This window comes from Homo sapiens, chromosome 2, assembly GCF_000001405.40.
Source record: "Homo sapiens chromosome 2, GRCh38.p14 Primary Assembly".
NCBI lineage: Eukaryota > Metazoa > Chordata > Mammalia > Primates > Hominidae > Homo > Homo sapiens.
The window spans coordinates 54,280,308-54,303,959 of NC_000002.12; the positions used below are offsets into that span (position 1 = coordinate 54,280,308).

Here is a 23,652-nt window from a genome sequence, read left to right on the forward strand (position 1 = left end):
CCCAGATTCTGCCAAGTTTCAGAATGCAGGAGGAAGAGCACATTGGGTAAGGGAGGTGTGGGTGGGAAGGGGGCATGGAGGTAGAGGCAGATAGGATACAAGCGGGGAGGTTCAGTAGTCAATGGTATATGAAGCTGCAGCTTTCATGATAAACATGGGTTCAGATGAAGTCATTCAGAGAGTAAATCAAGATTAAGAGAACACAAAATTAAGCCTAGAGATCACCAAAAGGATTGAACAAAGTAAAAAGGAACTCCCACTTAGAAGGATCACCTAGAGACACAGGAGGGAGGCAAAAGGGTAGTGTCCCAAAAGCCGTGGGCAGAGAAAAGGAAAAATGTCAAGTAAGATGGCAAAACAATATATGCCTTTCATTTAGCAACTTGGTGGTCTGTGACAACCTTCCTGAGAGCCGTTTTAGTGGAGGAGTTGTCTTGGAAGCCTGATTCAATGGGTAGAAGAGTAAGTGTGAACTTGGGAAGAGACATTGAGTATATTTTACTCTTAAGAAACTTAATCGATAGGAAGAAAGAGAAATGAGATGGTAACTGGAAGATAGGTTTGTATTCCACTGAGTGGGTAGCATCATTGATTTGTGAATTCTTTGAAGAGAATCTACCAGGTGTCAGAATCATAGAGGGAAGGTATATAAAAGCCAGGTGGGAAAGGAAACATCACCAAGAAGAGGAGGAATTTATCTCTATGAGGCTAGGTCTTTTCACTTATAAATGGAAATAATAATAGCTTCCTCAGAGAGAAGTTGGAGGTTTAAACGAAATAACATAATTTAAAACATTTTGAAAACAGCAAAGCACTATTCAAAACCAGATTATTCTATATATTATCAACTCCAGTTGATTACCTTGACTCAATATCTGATTAGTCTCAATCTTAGAGTCCAATTATGATTAACTTTGTCATTGCAGCTCAGAAGTCAGGGATCAATTTCCTTTTCCTGACAGTGGGATATATTCTGATGCCTTGGATGCCAGATAATTCTTATTTACTTCAGTTATCAAATTAAGTACCATGTTTAAAGCAAATCAGTGGTGCTGCCACAGTGCACATGCATAGTCAATGGATGTTATAGGAGATACAGATGTCTCTGTCAGTAGGCTAAGGGGTGCAAGTTACTAGCCTACATGATGATACCCAGGACAGGTAAAGATGAGATGATGTTGGTGGCTAGACAAGATTTCAGTCGAGTAAGACTTCCCATCTCCTTAGAATTATAGTAGCAAAGATATCATGTGGCAGAAATCACCAGAGCTAGACTCTGGTGAAACCCTTATGCTCAATTTTTTGTGATGTGGAAGTTCCTTCTAGGCTCTGGTATTACGAAGTAAAATTAAAAAGCCAAAATCAAAAGCTTACTCTTGTGAATCAGAGTGTTACAACTCCTGGTGAGAGAACTAGGAAGGAGATCTTGATTATGGGACCATTTTCTAAGGAGTTAAATACAGATTGTAGCAACATAGATCCTAGATTATGAAAAATGCTTTACTAAGTTTTGCTTTTTTTCCATTACACAAATTCAATTTGTTTGAACAAGATTATAAAAATAGTAATTATACCCTATCAGCTAATTATTTTTTTAGAATGAATGAGTTATAACAGAAGCAAGCAACACAGTTAGCAAGCATCATTACTGTTTATTTTCATTTTTTCATGTATACACTTACTTATTTATATCCTATGTTCTTCCACAAAGGAGCCAAAGTGACTGTTGCTATTTATTTCATATGTTGTTATTCATAATTCATTACCCAGAAGACACCAGTTCTCTTGGTAGTGAAATATATGTTAATTTAAGTATTTTTTTGCCTCAAACATCTCAAATAGTAAATTAAAATCTCTTATGAAATAACAGAAGAATATACAAGTTCTCCAAGTCCTTCAAAGAATAAAAATATTATTTACACTCCTGTATCTGTTAGGGTTAGAGATTGGGGACTTTAAATAAAATAACTAAAATAACAAATGACCACCAAATCCCACCGTCACGGACGATGGGAAACTAAAATCAGCTTTAACATTTTCAGACAATTTCCAACCTCTCATCCACTCCTCTTTTGTGTCCTCACCCTGCTCCACATTTTGCTTTACTCTGCCCTGCTCTAAGCAGATGGCCCTTGTGGTCATATGTCAAGATCCTAAAACTATTTCTGACCTGGAACAAAGTTCTGCCTGATTTGATCTTAGTTCAGGTCACATGTTTTTCTCCATCTATTCCTATGAATGTTTAAGAAAACTTATTCACTTCCTTATTAATAGAACAAAAACATTTGTTTTTGTTCTATTGCTTGCTCTTACATGGTTAGCCAACTACAATGAACCACTCACTCCTGGGGAAATCACTAGAAACAAAGATTTAATGGATAAAAACACCAGACTAGTGACAATTTTTTCTGATGGAAATTGTTTGGAAGTTTTTTTTTTCTTAAATATGAAAGTAGAGCTGTGTGACTTATAATTAAATGCTGATTATCCTCTGTATGGACATATTCACAGGTAGCTGTGTGTATACTTGTATATGCACAGGAAAGGTGTGAAAGAATACACCTTCAAAGAGTGGCCATATCTAAGAGTGGGGCTGGGAGATGAGAAAGGAGAGCTTTCACTTCCTGCTTCCTGTATATCCTGTTTGAAGTTTTACAATGATCAAATATTATTGTTTTAATTAATAATGTGAAGAATGAAAATATTTCTAACATTCACAAATTAAAGATGATAGCATGGTTGATTTGAAATTTTTTATACTTTGCACAGTGGTGTTTTCAATTCAGTGATTTATGACACATTTTGGGCTTTATCCTAATGCACGAATGATTGAAAATAAAAAGATGAAACTTACCCTAATTATCATACATATACAATTCCTGTTAGATATGAATATCTTGCCTCAAGATTTTTATTAAAGAGTTCTAATTTAGTCCTATCTCTGTGACTAGGATTATAACCTTTTAATATTGTTACCAAGATCTTATACAAATTACTCATTGAACAAGCAATTCATTGAACACCTTGTCAACCCCTGGGCTGAGCATTGAGGGCAGAGATGGGTAGACGTGAGCCCCTTCAGTTGTATGAGCTAGCTTTCATTGCATGCTTTCCATGCCCCAGGACTCTGTGTAGTGCTTTACATATATTAACTCCTTTCATCTTCACAACACTCCTGTAAGGTATAAATATTATTAAACCCATTTTACTCAGATTAAGACCCTGAGACAGATTTAGAATCCCAGAGGTCTAGCTCTGACTCAAAAGCCCATGGTTTTAAACCGTGACTTCGTAGTGCCTTCTGGATCATAAAGTAGATGTAATATAGTAGGAGTTTTACAAGTAAATATTTAAGTATATTTTAACATTTGTAATTATTTAACAATTGGAACAACTCGAATTTCCAACAATAGGAAGTTGATTAAATACAACGGAGTCTACCCATACAATGGAAGACTTAAGAAGCATTTGAAATGATGATGTAGAATGTAGACACTGATCTATTAACATTAAAAAACTATCTTTGGCCTGGTGCACTGGCTCACGCCTGTAATCCCAGCACTTTGGGAGGCCAAGGCGAGTGGATCACCTGAAGTCAGGAGTTCAAGACCAGCCAGGCCAACATGGAGAAACCCCGTCTCTACTAAAAATACAAATATTAGCTGGGCATCGTGGCACCTGTAATCCCAGCTACTCTGGAGGCTGAGGCAGGAGAATCACTTGAACCCAGGAGGCGGAGGTTTCAGTGAGCCGAGATCGTGCCACTGCACTCCAGCCTTAGTGACAACTCTCTTTATATTAAGTGGAAAAGATTATAACAGTTCTTATAATATGATTTAAACTTTGTAAAAAAAAATCATATAATTAAAAGCCAAAGCCAGACTCATAAAAAGCATCCACATGCTTGTAGGCCAAAGCAGGCTCCATAAACGATTCAGGTCAGAATACTGGGGGATGCATCACTGATCACTGCACTTTCTCCCATGGAGCCTGGACAAAGCTTCACTCGTCTCCTCAACATACAGCCCCAGGCATCCACTACCAGTCTATCTGAGGTGGCCCTCAAGAGAATCCTCTTTATCTTTTGAGCATTTGCTACCCTCAATTCCACTGCTAGAATCTATTCATCTAGTATTTCCTCTTGGTCTCATTCTTATCCCTTATTTCATTCTCCTGTGTGTCTCCACGTGACTCCTTTGTGTACACTTTTCTTGTGACTCAGTTTTACCCTGGATCCTGGTTTGCTACTTCTATTATTGCTCTCTTTCACATCATCACCTTTTTTTTTATCCCATCATTCCCATAGGCACACAAATATGCTCTTGTATCTACAATTGTTTTTTAAAAGATGTCCTCTAGAGCTACATCATCTCCAGCCCTTTATAGCACATCTCCTTGATAAAGCTATGTTGACTGTTTCTTCTTTCTCACCCACCTATTTTTCTCTTCATTCCCTCCCAGCAGGCTTTGCTTTCTACCTCTCCATTGTAACCAGGATCAACTAGTGTCCTTGACTTTGAACTTGCCAAATCCAGTGATCAGTTCTTTGGCCTGTGTTACTTAAACATTCAGCAACCCATGAGACTGTTGAGACCCCCTTCTTGAAATACCTTCTTTGCTGAGCATCTTCGTTTCTTCAGGCTGCTGTAACAGAACACCATAGACTGGGTAATTTATAAACAACATAAATTTACTGCTCACAGGTCTGGAGGCTGGGAAGTTCACGATCAAGGCACTAGCAGATTCAGCGTCTGGTGACAGCTCTGCTCTGCTTCAAAGATTTTGCCTTCCAGCTGTGCCCTCATATGGTGGAAGGGGCTGACAAGCTCCCTTGGGCCCTCTTTTATAAGGGTACTGGTCCCTTTGGAATCCTCATGAGCTAATCATCTCACAAAGGCCCTATCTCTTAATAACAACACATTAGGAATTAGGTTTCAACATACAAATTTTGGGAGGACACAAACATTCAGACCACAGCACTGAGTTTCTAGGATACCACGGTCTCCTGGCTTTCCTTCTGCCTCACTTGCTCCATCTTCTCAGCCTATTCTGTGGGATGCTCCTCTTGCTGACCACTTCTCTTCTGTTTCCATTTATTCCCAGGTATTGCCATCTAGCCCTGTGGCATTAAATATCATCTGTAATCAGTTCCCAATTTATAATTCCAGTTTCAATCTCTCTCCTAAATTCTGTTGTTAACGTAGGTGTCTAAAAAGCATCTCATGCTTACTGTGTCCAAAACAGAACACTCAATTTCCACCCTGTGGCTAAGACTGCTAGCTGTCCTCCAGTAATCATCCTCTCCTTCTATTGTAATACATGTGTTTTTACTGGGCACACAGCCACTCAGAATAAAGCCTACATTGACAACATCTCAGTCTCTTTTGTAGCTGAGTTCTGGCCAATGAGATGTAATCAGAAGTATTGTGTGGCAGCTGCTAGAAAACCTTTTTAACATACTGCAAACATATATAATCTTCCTCCTCTTTGCCTTCATCTATCCTGCTGTCTGGAACACAGATGTGATGGTTGGAACTTTAGCATCCATCTTGGGTTATGAGAATGGAGGACAACATCCTAGAAATCATGGAGTGGTGAGTTGGAAAGGTCTCTGAAGGTATGGAGTTGTCATACCTGTCCTGGACTGCCCACCTTCAGGCTTCCTTTATATGATAAAGGAATACAGATGCTTCTTGACTTATGATAGGGTTATGTACCAATAAACCCATTGTAAGTTGAAAATACTGTAAGTGAGAAATGCATTTAATACACCTAACCTACTGAACACCATAGCTTAGCCTAGCCTACCTTAAATGTGCTCAGGGCCAGGCGCAGTGGCCTTTGGGAGGCCAAGATGGGAGGATTTCTTGAGCCCAGGCATTCAAGACCAACCCTATAGCTGGGCTAAACTATTTGGCAATGCAGTACATTGTAGAGTATCCACTGTTTACCCTCGTGATCTGGGAGCTGTGGTTTGCTGCTGTTGCCCAACATTGTGAGAGAATATCAATGCATATTGCTAGCCTGGAAAAAGATCAAAATTCAACATTTGAAGTAAGATTTCTACTAAATGTTTATCATGTTAGCACCACCAGAAAGTCTAAAAAATGTGAGTTGAACCATTACAAAGAGTCCCCCCATCAGGGACTCTCTGTAAACTACCTTCTTCAAGCCACTATTACTGTGCTTCAAAGCTGAATCTAACCCTAACTAATAGTCATCTATGTCTATCAGAGAACAATCCTCCTTTCACATACCAGGCAACTGAAAATATAAAATTGGTAGAAAAGATGATCCGTTTTTACACTACTTTGCTCAACAGATAACTTTTCTAGAATATAATTGTACTGATTAAGGATTTATACTTCCATTTTCTCAGGTTTTAAATGAATTCTAATAAAAATCTTTATGCTGTTTTGATTATACTCCTCTCTAAATGGATTTGTCCTCATCTGACATTTTGTGCTGGTTTGAAAACTTTCAAAGACAGGCCTAAAACAAAATACAGCCTTCTCAATACATAAAATCATATCCAAATGTGAGTTTTCTCAGGCTATAATATCTAGAATTTTTTAACTTTGAAATGCAATGTTTATTCAATATATGGTAAAAAGCTCCGTAAGTATTTGTGAATGAATGACTTAGTAAAGAGTATACTATCACATAATTATTTAACTACATAAAATTACCCTGGTGATTTAAAAACATGTTCCCCAATTTTTTGATACTCTTTTCACTAAAGGTGAGTGCATTTGTGCTGCTATAACAAAATATCTTAGACTGGGTAATGTATACAGAAACTTATTTCCCACAGTTCTGGAGGCTTGGATGTCCAAGATCAAAGTGCTGGCAAGTTCAGTGTCTGATAATGGCCTGATCTCTTCTTCCAAGGTGGCACCTTGAACACCATTTCCTCCAGAGGGGGCTAACTCTATGTCCTCATAGCAGAAGAGGTGGAAGGAATGGAAGGAACAGACTTACCCATTCAAGCCCTTTTTATAAGTGGCTAATCCCATGCATAAGGGCCCCCCCTCATGACCTAATCACCTCCTAAATGCCTTACTTCTTAATACTGTCACACTGGCAATTAAATTTTACCATATGAAATTTGGGGGATACATTCAGACCACAGTAGGTGAGATCTAATTTCCTTCCCCTTGAACATGGGCCAGCCTTAGTGACTGACTTCAAACTCATAGAATGTGTTAGAGGTGACACTGAGTGTCTTCCAAGACTAGGTTAGAGCAGGCAGTACAGTTTCTGCCTGGCTCTACTGGACATACCTTTGGATCCCTGTGACAACACACACATAAAATGTCTGGCTACTTTGAAGCCGCCATGCTGAAGAAGTCATGTAGGGATAGAGGGAGACGACTGAGGAGCCAGAGCTGTTGCAGAACCCAGCTGACTGAGTTTTCCCAGCATCATCTGCCAGACTTGTAAGTGATTCCAGTTATTCCAGTCCTCAGCCTCAGAGCTGCTCTTGGCAAGTACTGCAAAGATGAGGTTTCCCTGTTGAGCCCTGACCAAATTGCAGACTTGTAAGCTGGCTAAACAGTGTTTGTTATTTCTAGGTGTGAGGGTAGTTTGAACAGCACCCACAGTATTGGGAACATTCCCTCATCAGCACGTTGACTCTCTATGCTGCTTGCTTGATTGTCTTGGAGAACATAATGACCCTTTCAGTCATTCCCTTTGGGTTAATTCCCTCTGTGGAAAAGGGGTATTCTTGCACTTGCCTGCCACTCCTGTAGCCACAATTTAGAGAGGGCTTTGTTCCCTTCACCTTTCCTCTATCCAGGGAAAATATCAGACCTGTTGCCTTCCAAAATGGAAACAAAATCACCTGTTTCAAAGCAAGCTGCCTTAAGATGTGGTCTGTAAAGATACTACAATTAAGTGATAAGCTTTCCCTTTTCTTTACCCTAGAAACAGAAACAGACTGTGTTTCAGCATAATGCAGGTGACCAAGGCATATCCTCCATATAGGAACAGAGCAACTAAAAAGAAAACTATAGCCTCATTAACTTGTCTGAGGTAGTGATTTGTTAAGTGAAAAGCAGTGGGTGGTGTAGTTTTTAAAAAGGTGGGCCATATTACCATTTCTTCAGTGCTTCCTGGGGAAAAGGATACTATCATTATGTATATTCTCTAGGCCAGGTTTCACCTAGGCTAGAGAAAGAACAATCTAATGTAATTCTGTCTCATTAGTGCATTAGTGCATTTCCCTCAAAAGGAAAATTATTTTATAAATGGCTGATATACTTGCCTACTATAAATGATGCATGGTATTCTAGTTTATAAATTGATCTCCTAGGAAATCAGGTGTTTGTTCCCCTAAACTTGATCATTCCAGAGAGCTTTTAGGATCAATTCCTTGACCAGAGAAGAGCTTTGGCAACTCCACCGATGTAACGGTGCCTTGTAGGATCCCACAGAAAGCTGCTAACTAGTTTTTTTCTTTCTGTGATGTACATTTAGCTGTAGCAGGAAATAGTGTGTAATTAGAAGAGGCTCCCAAAGGTTGAGGCCTTATCTGGATGATTGCCAAGTCCAAACTGCACTTTGTAGACCCAATCTCAGGGAGTCCAGTTTCTTCCACAGCAGGACCCACCTACTGGCTTTAGTTTCATGGTTGTAACTTCTGCGACCCCAAGCTTTTAATTCTATTCAAAGCCTCATCATCTAAAAGTCATTTGGAAAACTAAAGAATGACAGCTATCAACTATATATAAGTAGCTTTCAATTCAAAAGAGGGAGGTGTAATATAATGAAGTTAAATTACATTTTGATTCTGGTTGCTAGATATTCTTTGATCATTAATGGTGTCAGCAAAATTGAGCACACCTTAAAGTCAGACAACCTCTTCCATGAAATGTTTCTCTCCTCTCCCTTTCAGCCTCACATCCTTCCTTCTTCTACTTTGTCACCTCCCACTAGATAAGCAACTTGGATATATTGATGACGTCCTCTTATTTGCCAAAAATTCACCAAGCTGTTAATAACTTAGATTTATTTATGAAAACTACAGCAGATTTAAGTCAACCAACAGGCCCAAGCTCTTTAAATTTTTTGTTACTAGGGTGACAATTCTACACCCAATTTTAGTTTTCAAAATCTAGGCAGAAACACCTTTATTGGGATTTAGCAATGACTTTGTTTTATAACCTGCAGAGATTATTAGGAAGATACATATTTCTTCCTCACCTTCTATTTTGTTCTATATTTTTGTTAAAAGTTGGCATATGAGTACAAAAAGGAAAACGTTTTTTATGATCATCTCTGTCTACATAACAGACTGAAATTTGTGAGCATTTAACACATTTGTGCCGAAAAATATTGAAATTATAAAAGTACCATTTACAGGCAGCCACCTACCAACTAAAACATTACTATGGCATTCTTACCTTCCATCATGAGCCTCCCTATGAACTGAGTCACATAGGAGAATCTAAAAAAAAAATCCTGGGAGGTTCAAAAGGTAGCCATTTCCCTAACAATGAGACATGTCCATAAAGAAGGGCTTCATTATTTTTGATTCTCGTCAAATATTTCAAGGCATTCCGAGAGCCCCCATCTTCAGGGTTAACCACATGTAGTATGCTCAATACAGCCGGTGTCTAATACACAGCCAAACAGTCGTCTTTCCATTAAAATGTGATTTTTGCTTCTGCTTTTCCATCTAGCACATCTGTTCTTCTAGCGGTTCTTGTGTCGTTAGCCGCCTTTCCATCCCACCTTGGCGCTATTCTTTTAATTCAATTGTGCGCAAATTGCATCAGGCTGTCAGGGCTTCGCTTTATGAATTTCCCTTTGAGGACTTGCACATTCCTCTCGGCACAGAGGTCGGAGCCGGTGGGTGCCCGGCTGCCGCCGCCCCGCGATCAATGGCACCTGAAGCTTCCCCGGGCGAGGCCGTGGCTGCCTGGCTTGGTCCCGGAGTCCACGGCCACAGAGACTGGTGCCTTGAAGACGTGGTTTTTATAACCATAGAACGTTGCATGCCTTATTTTAATGGAAAAGGTATCTAACGAAGTCGGCCGTAAAGCAAAACTCCTTAAATAAATCTGTTCCCCCACCCCTACCATTTCCATTATAAAATCAAACAAACAGTATCAGCAAGCCGGGAAAATACAGAGCTTTTTATGTTTGCACCTCACTTTGTTCCCAGCAGGATTTAAAGTGATTTGTAAGCGTATGTAAAACAAGAGCATGTACATTTAAAAGTGAAAAGGGATTAAAAACTAGGGTGGGGACATAAAATAGAGCCAGGACAAGGCTTAAGTGATGCCTAAAATAACAACCTCTGCTATGAGTGGGCCACAATTTGGCACTAGATTATCTAGTAGTTCTCTATCGGCTAATGGCATCCCCCAACCCCAACTCAATTTGTTTATGAGCATTTTTGGTGGGAGATGGAGAGATCAGGGTGAGGGTGAAAACGCAGGCGTGTCTGGCCAACTCATTTTTCATTTGGCTTCATGTAGGAGTCGATTTTAACATAACTGGAAGAGAGAACATCCTGGACTGTGCATCCTTAAAGCAATCTTCCTCAAATATTGCTCTTCTGAGACAAAGGCGCTCGTAAATATTGGAAGGCATTGAATTCAAAATCTAGGCAGGCTTGCCTTGCCAAGAACAGAACCGTAAAGATGTATACAGCTGCTCTCTCTCCTCTCCTTCACAGGCAGACAGCTAGAAAGATGATCTATTCTTGCTGTCTTAGATTCTTAACTTCCCCCTCACTCTAAAACCATGCAAATCTAGCTTCCACCCCCACCACTTCACTGAAGCTGAGCTTGCTGAGGTCCCCAAAGCACTTTTCAGTTATTTTACTTGGGTCCTGACAGCATTTGGACACTGACTGCTCCCTTCTTAAAATACCTTTGCCTTGGGTTTTCCTAACAGCACACGTTGGTGGCTATCATCTCCCTCTTCTCTGGTCATGCCTTCTACATGTCCTCTGTTGCCTTCTTCTGCACCTGACCCTTCAATGTTGGTTGGGATGCTGTTCTAGTGCTGAGAACCCTGTACCAGAAAGGGTCCACAGAAGTGTGGCCACCATACAGACCGGCAAAAAAAATCTAATTCCTCTGAATCCCAGAGTGAAGAATTTCATGAAGCTCTTGTTAACTGAATAATGGCTGCAGTAGACGTGGTATATTGGCTTGGTCGACCTCTATTCCAAACTCCTTCTGGGGTCTTTCACGTACTGCAGACACTGGAGAGCTAGGAGCTACATTTCCTGACTGCCTCGCAGCAAGAGTTTCAAATGTGATTTAGTCATTATTAATCAGAGGTATTCCTGTGAAATTTGAATTTGGGACTGAGTTCAGTGGAGAAAGAGGCAGCAGTGCCTGAGGCATCCATTTAGCTGGTGTGAAGATCTAGCCCATGTGGCTCGGGGGCCAACAATTCTGGTGGTGCCTTCCTGATACCTGGACTGATAGTTAGGGTAGTATATTCATAAATACAGTATTTTTCCTGGCAGTCAGATTCCCCTAATAGGCCTATCAGGAAAAATTGTCCAAGGCTTGAAATTGGGTCATAGAGATCGGGAGTGTCTTTCAGGAAAATTCTGATATGGTCTGGTAGAAACTTTAGGAATTTTCTAATTCTATAGGGGTATGCACTGGTGACTTCCTATTAACTAAACTATTTTACAACTCTGTAAGGTAGAAATTTATTTGCAGCAAACTATAGAAATCCAGATAGTTTTGTTTTTTACTTTTTAATTTTATTTGAATGTAGCAGAAACAGGATCTCATTCTGTTGTCCAGGCTGGTCTCAAACTCCTGAGCTCAAGCAATCCTCCTGCCTCGGACTCCCAAAGTGCTGGAATTACCAGCATGACCAGCCACAAATAATTCTTATCCATAGCAAAACAAATCTTTTTTTTTTGGTAGATATAAAATTGATTTTAGCCCTGAAGAAAAGATAATTCCAAACATTATTTTTTATTGCCCTAAAGCTACATTGTCTAATATGAAAGCTACTAGCTATGTAGTTATTGAACTCTTATAATGTGGCAAGTTTGAATTGAGATGTCTTATAGGTATAAAATATACACCAGATTTCAAAGACTCGATATGAAAAAGTATGTAAAAAGATCTCATTGATTTTATTATATTGATAACATCTTGAAATAATTATATCTTGGATAGAGTGGGTTAAATAAGATATTATTAAAATTAATTTTAACTATTTTTACTTCTTAAAATGTGACTCTTAGAAAATTTAAATTACAGATGAGGCTTGCATTATGGTTCTGTCAGACAGTGCTGTCCTGTAGAATTTTAGCCAGTTTTGCATCTATTAACCAGTTGATTGAAACATTTCTGATTGTGTGTGTATATATGTATACACACACACACACACACACACACACACACACACACACACGTGTATGTATCTCTGAATTCTCCTTTGAACTGGACTTAACATCTTACAGATTCCCTCATTAATTAATGTATTAAATAAAATATTTGTGACATGTCATTTTATACTTGCATGAGAATCACAGTTCTAACATTTATACTTTAGCAGTCAATTCTGCAGAGTTGCTCCAACAGGCCCAATCTAGATTTGTTATTCCAGTTCTTCCAATTATTTTGTAAGTACCTAATTCCCTGTATTAAATTCCATCCTAAAATGGCTAAGGTGGTTTTAGTTACCTGCTACTGCACCCTGACTATACCCTGACATTAGCTTAAAATTGAACATTTACTATTTTCCAGATACTGTGTTAAACACTTTACAGATTATTTTATTTAATCGTCACCGCAACTCTGTGAGGGAGGCAGTATACTCCTCATTTTACAGATGAGGCACTGAGAGTTTAAGAAACTTCTCCAAGACAACCAGGAAGTAGTAGCTGGACTCACACCTAAGCATACTGACTCTAAAGTCTACTTCCATCCATTACCACTGTGCCAGCACCTATTCTGTTCCACCAAATAAAACAGAAAGAAGGGCATATCTGTCACTAGATATGTGTTGACCTAGAAGCTGCGGTGCGGCAAGGAAGTTACAGGTTATAGTCATCCCCTCACTTGTTCTGCCTTCTCTACTCCTAGGACCTTTGATTCAATTAGCTGGTTCTCAGAATCCTGGGCATAGCTCAAGCCTGAGTGGCTCTTCCAGACTCTCACCCAACTGAGGAGGTTGGATGATGCGCCATTTTCCGCTGCAAGCTGAGAAGCACCTCTGCCAAGACCAAGAGGTCTCACTGGTGGAGATGCACTAGAAGTATGTGACTCTGAGGGTCACAGAGCTTGCTAAACAGGCTGTCTACCATCTTTGGCAAAGGCAGGAAACAATTACACTGTAATAATAGTTATTAATGGCCAGATGTTGCACTAAGTGATTTACATACATTCTCTCTAATCCTTTCAATAGCTCAGTGGGGTGAGTAGCAGTATCATCCTTTTAAAAATGAGGAATCTTAGGTCTTAGGTTAATTATGGATGCTCTAGGATTTCCTGGATAATCACTGAACTCACTAATCAAGGGCTACATATCTGACAAATATTTCAGACATTAAAACATTTGATAATAAAGGAGTCTATGGTATTATTTGTCCACATGTAACTGAATAAAGAAACTTGTTAAAGAAAGGAGAATGGCAAAAATGTTATATATTATCCTTCCATTATTAATGCTAGTTTAAAAGCTTGAAATTGACAGGCAACTCAGTATTTTCCAACATGCATCACATTAGCTTTTAATTCATTATCTGTCTTTATTTTTTACTGTCTCCTTTCTTGCTATGGTCTTCATTTTATACTGGCGCTGAAGAGACATCTGAAAGGATTATGCCACCCCACTTTAGTCCCAGGGAATAGAACTACTATGAATTATTGATAGTGTTAGCTTTCTAGTGCTTTAATTTCACCTCTGTTTCAGACAAGGATATTAGTTAAATGGAATTTTTTATATCACCCCAGGAGCTTACTACACAGGAAATACTGACTGACTTGAATTATTGAAAAGACAGTCCTATGTTGATTTCCATTTCTACATAGGATGGATTCTTCATACATTCCACTCCCCTATATTTTTGCTTAGTGTTAGGTTAATAGGGCAGTTTTCAAATGGAGTCCCTCAGAACCCGCGGGATTCCTCAGAGATGCTTGCAGTACAACTGGAGAAGCAAGAGGGCTCGGTGGGATGGTATCTGCAGGTAGACATACACATGAGTGCACACATATGCCCCCAACCATTGCCTTGCTTCAGAGAAAAACTTCACTTGTCTACCGTAAGTATTAAGCCTTTGTGCAAGATTATGTTGGAAGAAAGGTTTCTTCTCTTCACAAATCTTGAGGCTGTGTATGGTGGCTCACTCCTGTAATTGCAGCTCTTGGGAGGCTGAGGTGTGAGAAGTGCTTAAGGCCAGGAGTTTGAGACCAGCCTGAGCAACATAGTGAGACCCCATCTCTACAAAAAATTAAAAAAAAAAATTAGCCAGGTGTGGTGGCACACATTTATAGTCCCAGCTACTCTGGAGGCTGAGGCGGGCGGATCCCCTGAGCCCAGGAGGTTGAGGCCACAGTGAGTCATGATCACACCACTGCATTTCAGCCTGGGTGACAGAGTAAGATCCTGTCTCTTAAAAAAAAAAAGAGTAAAATATCCTGAGTTAATACAATAAATACAATAGATGTTTGCACATCTTTGAGATACTAAGAAAACATGTCTAAGGGGTTTTATACTATATAGTTGAGTGTATACAGCTGTGCACTGGACTTGACAGAAGCTGATGGCATGTCATATGACTAGGCTTGCAGGATGGACTTGGCCCTCCTGTGGTATTGTAAGAATTACCCCGAATTCTGGGTAAAGCCAGTTACCATGTATATTTATGTAATGAATAAACTCACAAGCGCAAAAAAATGCAATAATATTGGGGAATGGCACCGATAAATGAACCAATTGCACAAGTAAACTTGGTTCACCTGCTTCTATTCGGGTCATTAGGCCCCTGAATCCATAGGCCTCCAATGTTCTTTAAGAGAAGGAATATAGTCATTGCTTGTGTTCTTCAGAAGGGACTACCATGAGTAAAATATTTTCTGAGTTTCTGTAATAAGAGCAAATATTTCTCTAACTTGCAAAGAGTATTTTAAAATGTGAGGGTTTTGTTTTTTGTGAGTTAATGAGTTAAAAAGTAGCATTCAGGGTTCCTTTCTGTATGTGGATGGTATAGGTGCCTAGAAATTGCCCTCCTCCCACGCATGGAAGCTGTAGACCTGAAGAAGGTAGGCAGATGACAAAGGCTCATTCATTCAGTATACATTTATTTCTTCGGGGTCGGGGGGTATTTCTTTAAGTTTTATTTTATTTGTAATTGACCTATGATTGTACATATTTATGAATATGTATTTATTGAGTACCCACTATTACCAGGCATCATGCTAGGTGTTGGGAATCTAATAGTAAGACCTATCCTGCCACCTTCTTTTTTGTGTGTGTGAGACAGAGTATCACTCTGTCGCCCAGGCTGGAGTGCAGTGGCGCGATCTCGGCTCACTGCAACCTCCGCCTCCCGGGTTCAAGCAATTCTCGTACCTCAGCCTCCCACATAGCTGGAATTACAGGCACCCACCGCCATGCCTGGCTAATTTTTGTATTTTTAGTAGAGACAGAGTTTCACCATGTTAGCCAGGATGGTCTCGCATTCCTGGCCTCAAGTGATCTGCCACTTCCACTTCCCAAAGTGCTCGAATTACAGCATGAGCCACAGCACCCAGCCTGATCCTGCCACCTTCTTAGAATTTGCATTCTGTTGTGGAGGAGGCATATAATAAACACATAGACAATCACATAAACATAGCAATTACAAAATGTGATCGTTGACATCATGCATGCAACAGAGTAGGGGTGGGGCCCTTTTCACATAGGGGCAGTCAAAGAGGAGGCCCTAGAACAGCAGAAAGCTAAGTGCATTTTAGAAGGCCACAGCTGGCCTCTCTGCTGGCTTCCAAAGCAATAAATGCGTGGTGCTTACTGTATTTGATGGCTAAATACATGCCATCTGTACTCAAGAATTAGAATGCTGTGGAAACTCTGAGGGGACCAATAGTTGGTGACTTCTTGTATAGGAACAAAAAATATGGCACAGTTAATTTATTACACAAATAGATTTTTCCTTAGTTATTTAACATTTATCAGCACTGTGTTTTATTTATTTCTTAACGCAAAGGTGGGCTGAGGGATAATTAAAAGTAATATACCCAAGATCATTGTCCTTTTCCATTCCATAAAAAAATTGTCTCCACCACTGTTTATGATCCTCATCAAACATATAAAAAATGCATCCATAATGAAATCTCCTCTTATATTGTTACTTTATAACTGTTAAAGGCAACATGATTTTTGTAAAGGATAAAATAGACTACAAAAATTAGTTTCATTTTCAAAACCTCTACATAAGCATGTAAAATATATTAGAGTGAAGAGGGACACATGGTTATCAAATAACCTGACTTCTATCAACAGAAGTTTCCAGTTTACATTATTATTCTTTCATTTTTACTAGATGAACCTTCTTTTTTGTTTTTATAAGCTTATCAGTGGATCACCCTTCTTAAATAGAAATACCTGGAAGATATATGCACACAAAACTGATTCAGATTTACCGCAGAAATACTAGATTTCAATGGGACATTCAAGCAAATATAATTCATCCATCTACCCATCCATCCATTCAATATTTATTGAGTAAGCTAAACTAATAGGTAAAATATGCTGGAACCAGAGCAGTGTATTGTGGTTGTGTTGGCTCCTTGGGTGGGTGAACACTTTTCCTGTTTTTTTTTTTCATTCTTTTGCACACTTACTGTAGAAATTTTCTGAAAGGCAAGTAGTCAAACTGACTGGATAGCCTAAGAAATTTGAAATTATCTGGCCGAGTGCAGTGGCTCACACCTGTAATCCTAACACTTTAGGAGGCCAAGGTGGGAGGATCACTTGAGCCCAGGAGTTTAAGACCAGCCTGGGCAACATACTGAGACTCCATCTCCACACACAAAAAAATTTTTAATTAGCCAGGCATGGTGGCTCATTCCTGTAGTCCCAGATACTTGAGAGGCTGAGATGGGAGGATAGCTGAAGCTCAGGAGTTCGAGATTACAGTGCACTATTATTGTGCCACTGCATTCCAACCTGGGTGACAAAGTGAGACCCCCATCTCAACAACAAAAAATGAACAAACAAAAAAATTATCCAGTCCAGCCAATGTGATAAAATGGACTAACAGAATGAATTTGGGGAAAATAATTCAGGAAAAATACATGGAGTGGTTTACTGGCAACCCCAAGAAAAAGAGAAACTATTATACTACTAAAGGAGTTCAGTAAGGCATCTGATTACAATACAAGAAATTACTAGTTTTCCTGTATCTTGTTTAAAAACATAATGATTAAAAAGCATCTTGTTCAAAATAGCAAGAAAAATATGAGTATAAATTTATCAAGAAATATACAGGACCTGAATTAAACAAACTATAAAATTTTAGTGAGAAACTTAAAGACTTGAGCAAAACTGGAGAAAATTTTCACTCTTGAGGACAAGCTGAAATGTTAGAATTGCCACTTTTCTCCAAATTATTTTTAGATTTAAAAGGGGATGTGAAAGGACTGGATGAAATTATGCTAAACTCTAATAGAATGTATGACACAAACACGGACATTTAAAACTAGAAGAATAATGAGGTGGCGGTATAGGGACTAATGGACATTAAAATATATTCTAAAACTATAATAATTAGAATAGTTTGGTACTGGTTTTATATTCTAAAACCATAATAATTAGAATAGTTTGGTACTGGTTTAGGGATTAAGTAAATATATCAATGGTGCCAAATAGAATGCCTATAAACAGACTCAGGCATATGCACAAATTTAGTGTAACAGTTACATTTGGAATCTGTAGAAAAGGATAAATTATTTAGTAAAAGATGCAGGAGGAAATGTCTATTCAAAATTAAGACATCTTTTTCATATAAGGCAATCACATAATTCCAGATTTATGAAAGATTTAAAGGATAAAGCCATACTTTTATATGAAGATGGCATATTTTGAACGCATGCATTTGCCTCTGCTCCCTCCTCAACCCTACTTAAGTATCAGTAAAAATGATTTTTAAAAACCCTTAAAAACACCCACAAGGACAAATAACGGGAGATAAAGCTACAGCAATAAAACCTTGGAAACTAGAAAGCAGATGAGCGGGTGGTAATGCAAATTTGATTGTAAGCATTGCAGGCTACCAAAGCAGAGAAATGGTCCAGTTAACACAGTGGAAATCCCTCAAGGCTCAGGCTACTGGAAGTGGGCATGAAGGTGGGGCTAAAAATAAAAGCACTGATTCCAAATCTGCTTACTAAGCAGTTGTGCCCCATGTCACACAGGAGAGCAGCTGCCCTGTCTGCTCAGGCAGAAGCCAGAGTTCATTTGTTTTGAGACAGTCTTACTCACTCTGTCGCCTAGGCTGGAGTGCAGTGGTGTGATCTCGGCTCATTGCAACCTCTGCCTCCCAGGTTGAAGCGATTCTCTTGCCTCAGCCTCCTGAGTAGCTGGACTTAACGGTGCACACCACCATGCCCAGCTACTTTTTTTATTTTTTGGCAGAGATGGGGTTTCACCGTGTTGGCCAGGCTGGTCTTGAACTCCTGACCTCAACTGATCCACCCACCTCAGCCTCCCAAAGTGCTGGGATTACAGGTGTGAGCCACTGCACCCAGCCAGAGTTTCACTTTTATAGACACAGTTGAAAAAATGATGTAGTGCTGAAGACAGGGATTCAGTGAAAGTTAATCCCTGGAATGTTGAGGCCTTAACCTTCTTCCCAGATTTTTAAAGCACACATAACCAGACTCATAGCTTCTAGGCAGGAAATAGGGTGTATCTTCCCTGGAGAATATGACCAGTCCAAGGAAAAAGATATCAAGATACCAACGTCAGAGGCTCCCAGATGCAATGGTCACCCTAGAAAACCTAAGACTGGCCGGGCACGGTGGCTCATGCCTGTAATCCCAGCACTTTGGGAGGCCGAGGCGGGCAGATCACGAGGTCAGGAGTTTGAGAGCGGCCTGACCAACACAGTGAAACCCTATCTCTACTAAAAATACAAAAATTAGCTGGGCATGGTGGCGCATGCCTGTAATCCCAGTTACTCAGGAGGCTGAGGTGGGAGAATTGCTTGAACTTGGGAGGCGGAGATTGCAGTGAGCCCAGATTGCGCCGTGGTACTCCAGCCTGGGCGACAGAGCGAGACTCTGTCTCAAAAAAAAAAAAAAAAAGAAAAGAAAAAAAAGAAAACCTAAGACCACAGCTCAGCAGTAGGGCAAAAGAGAAATCCATTGCAGATTGGTGGATGGGGAGGCTCACACTCCTTCACCCACTCCGGGAAACATCTGACTGAATTGTTAAATCTGCCCTCTGAAATGGATTGTTCCTGCTGAAAAAAACTCTGGCCCAGGCATTGATCCCAGGCCCCAGTGGTTTGGACCCTGCTTGCAGGACAGGCACCTGAAGAGCACACTGCATTGCAGGCAGGTGTGTTTGCAGGTCCCTGGCCATCTAGACTAACTTTAAGGGTCCTCAATGCTCTTTCACAATTCCTTTAACATTTGTCAACTCCTTTAGTGATTATTACACCTTTTCACTTTATTCAATCCCTCAACTCTTCCTCCACCCCACTTATTCTCATTAAATTACCTTACCTCCCTCACACTGAGAAAATGAAAGCTATCTCATGTGAATGCCTCTCCCTATCCAAATTGCTCTCCAATTTTTAAAATCCACTGTCTTCTCTTCCATACAGAGAAAATATGTCCTCTTTTCTATACCTAATGAGTCCACTCATCTCTTGATCCTGTTTCTTCTGACAGCTCTGGGCCTTGTTCCATCAATTACCACTCCTTTGCTCGAATCTTCAATTCATTCCCTTTGCCTACTTATGAGAGTATGTGTAGTGGACACTGATCTACCACTCAGATTCCCTTTCAAGATTGAAGGATTCAGTCCCCCAGAAGCCAGGAATGCTGCTGGAAGATGGCCCTTAGCCATCAGCCTTCTTCAGGAATTGCCTCAGCAGAAGAAAGTCACCTCACTAGAGTTCATGTATTCTTCCCTGGGCAGCTCTCCTCTAACAACTGGGTTAATGTGGGGAATATAAAGACCAGCCCTCTCACCTTGAGACAACTGTGAAGGGTCTTCCCAGTTTCAGAGCTCCTTAAGTCTTGGCTAAGGTCTTCATTGAGACTGCATCATTGCCCAGCTTCTCCCTTAGTCCAATCTTGTCTCCTTTCCTTTCCTCGCTTTCCACAAATTGTTAAATGTGACAGCACTCCCTAATTAACTTCCTGCATGCTAATCATCTCAGAGCCTGTATCCCAGGGTACCCTCCTTATGACAGTATGTTTGTAAGACAAGGACTTTTAATAATTTGTTAGGTAGTACCAAGTTGCCCTTTCAAAAAGCTGTACAATTTTGCACTCCCATTACCAATGTAGAAAAGTGCCTCTTTTCCTACACCCTAATTGCCACTACTGGATATTATCAAGCTTTTAAATCTTCCCATTCCATAAGTGACAGATGGTGGCTTATTCTTGCTTTATTTGTATTTTTAAAAATTATGAGTATGAGTGAGAATGTTTTTACACATTACTTACTGGCTATTTATATTCCTTTCCCTTTCATTTGCTTGTGTTATTTGCCCATTTTTCTATTGCACGGCCATACATATTGGTAATATACCATATGCCATACGTATATTAATTTTCAAGTACCATTTGTATAGTAAGAAAGTTGCAAATAAGTTGTTTCAGTTTGCTGTTTGTTTGGCTTTAAGACTTTCTTCTGGCCATTCAAATGTTTTGCATTTTTTAAATTTGCTAACATTACCAACATTTTTCCTGTGCTTCTTGGTTTTCTGTCAGGCTTAAATTGGCATTTCCCATTCTAAGATTTGGGGAAAAAAACCAAAACACTAATGTCTTCCTTAAAACTTAGCTCAAATGTCATTGCTCTCACAAAGATGTCTCTGAGTACCTTGACCAGAGTTAACCCCCCAATTCCCTTCTCCCTTTATATAATATAAATCACATTGCCTATCATATTCTGCCTTAACATTATGGCCATTTTTATTATTTTCCAAACTCTTCTATTGGAATGTAAGTTACTGAGGAAAGGAATTCCATTTTAAATCTCTATGTATGCCCTCCAGTATCTAGAATGACTTGCGTAAAGTCCTACTTAAATATTTACTGAATTGTAATAACTAGTACTGTTTGATTATGTGGCTCTGACACTAAGGGTGAGTGATTTTATATATATGTATACATACACACGTGTTTGTATATGTATACATATACACGTACATACATATATTTCACACTCTTTCTCATTAGACATAAATTTTGTGAAATTTTGTGACTATTTTTTTGCTTGGAGAACTCTTAGTTCTGCCATCTTTAGACCTCAGCCACACTTACCAAAGACTGACTGCAAAAACAGCACTTGAGAGTCAGGTCTCAGGGCCTGCCAAGTGACAGGTGACCAGAACACTCCTAGCTGAGGAGGCAGATCAGGCAGGGTGGTTCCTAGCAACAGGGGAAGCATATATGGAGCCATGACACAAAGTGGCCATCCTCCCCACAGGGTAAACAGAGCTCAGTCTCCCAACACCATGACCATCTGCCCCATCAGTGGCATAGATTCCTCCCAGGCCATACTTTTGGCTGGGGAAGAAGTCCCTGATGATGTTGAGGACAAGATACAGGCAGGTATCTCAACTAGGTCAATACATTGAGTTATCAGCTCAGGTGGATTAGTCGTTGCCCAGTTCCTATGCCCAGTAGCCCTAGTCTTGGATTCCATGGTTTCAATTTCTCCCTTTTCATTCTCTTGAGCCCATTCAAATATGGTTTTCATGCCACCACAACTGCTCCTGCTCCTGCCAAAGTCACAGGTGACATCGACGTTGCTAAACACAATGGCCAGTTCTCATTTCTCACCTCACTGGCCCTGCCAGCAGCATTGGCCTGGTGGATCCCTCTCTACTTCCTGAGGGCTTGATTGGGCTCCCTGGGCACCAGTTTTTCCTCATACCTCACTGGATGCTTCCTTCTCTGCCTTTCCTGGTTCTTCCTCTGCTTCCTGAGCACTTCACATTGGAGAACCCCCAAAGTACAGTCATTGGACCTATCTTTTCTATCTAGATTCATTTTCTTGATGATCCCAGCCAATCTTATAACTTTCGATACTTTCTATCTGCTGACAAATTCCAAATTTTATATCCTCTAACCAGACTCATAGGTCCAACTGCCTACTCACCATCTCGCTTTGGATGTCTAACAGACATCTCAAATGTAACATTCCAAAACTGAGCCTCTGATCTTCCCCTTCCCCCAAAATCTGCTCCTCTCACAGTCTCTCCATTTCAGTAAATGACAACCCTATCCAACTAGTTACTCACACCAAAAACTCTGGTGTCATCCTTCACTCCTCTCCTTTTCTCACACCCACATTCAATCTGTCAGCAAATCTACTTTTACTATACCTTCAAAATATACTCAGAATCTGAATCCTCCTGACAACCACTCTGCTAACCACCCTGTGCAAGTTACTATCTCTTAAGTGTCTCTCTTTTCTCATCAATAACTGGGGGCAATAATAGCCTATGACTTACAGGGTTCTTGTGTGGAATAAAAGATAAGACATGTAAAGAACTTAGCATAGTGCCGAACAAATTGTTAGTGCTTGGCCAGTCATGGTGGCTCACACCTGTCATCCAAGCACTTTGGGAGGCTGAGGAGGGAGGATTGCTTGAGGCCAGGAGACCAGCCTAGGCAACATGGTGAGATCTTGTCTCTACTAAAATTCAAAAAAATTAGCCAGGTGTGATGGTGCGTGCCTGTAGTCCCAGCTACCTGGGGTACTGAGGCTGGTGGATTACTTGAGCCCTGAAGGTCAAGGCTGCAGTGAGCCATGATCATGCCACTGCACTCCAGCCTGGGTGACAGAGTGAGACCCTGTCTGCACCCTCCCCCCTCCAAAAAAAAAGTTGTTAGTGCTTAATAAATTTTAGCTTTCATTATTATTTGTGGCGTCAGTTTTCTAGGAGGTTTCAAGAAGACGTGGCTAGTAAAGTTGAAGCTATCAGTTCCTTTTCATAAGAACTGAGTTTTTTCTTCAACACATGAAATTTTCATTTTAAAGGTTTTACCTAAATGAGCTAAAGAGAAAGAAGTCCAAACTAATCTCACCCAGTAAAACTGTCACAGATAAGATCCAAATAAAGGGTTAAAAAGCACAATAGCAATTTGAATCATTGGAATTCTTCTCTATAAAAGTAATTTTCAGCTAACCTAGAAAATATTTTAAATCTAAAGTTATATAAGATTGTCACATATCATACTGCATAGCTGTCTACAGCCCTAGCTTCACAACCTGAAATAATTTGGGGATATGAGGAAACTCATAGGATGTTTCTACAACAGCAACTGAGATAACAGCCATCATTTGTATAAAACAGCCTTGTTTTATAAACCTAAAGTCCCAGCTAATTAGTAATAGGTAGAAAGATTCTGGAAAATCCTCAGTGTTATCTGAGATGTCAGCAATATACAATAGGCCTGAACTATATAG

The 23,652-nt window shown here is 39.9% G+C and overlaps 1 protein-coding gene across 5 annotated transcripts in view; it reads left to right on the forward strand.

Moving 5' to 3' along the window:
• Positions 1–23,652, forward strand: part of ACYP2 (acylphosphatase 2) — a 334,188-nt gene that overhangs the window by 309,195 nt on the left and 1,341 nt on the right. The gene's annotated exons all lie outside the window — the stretch shown is intronic.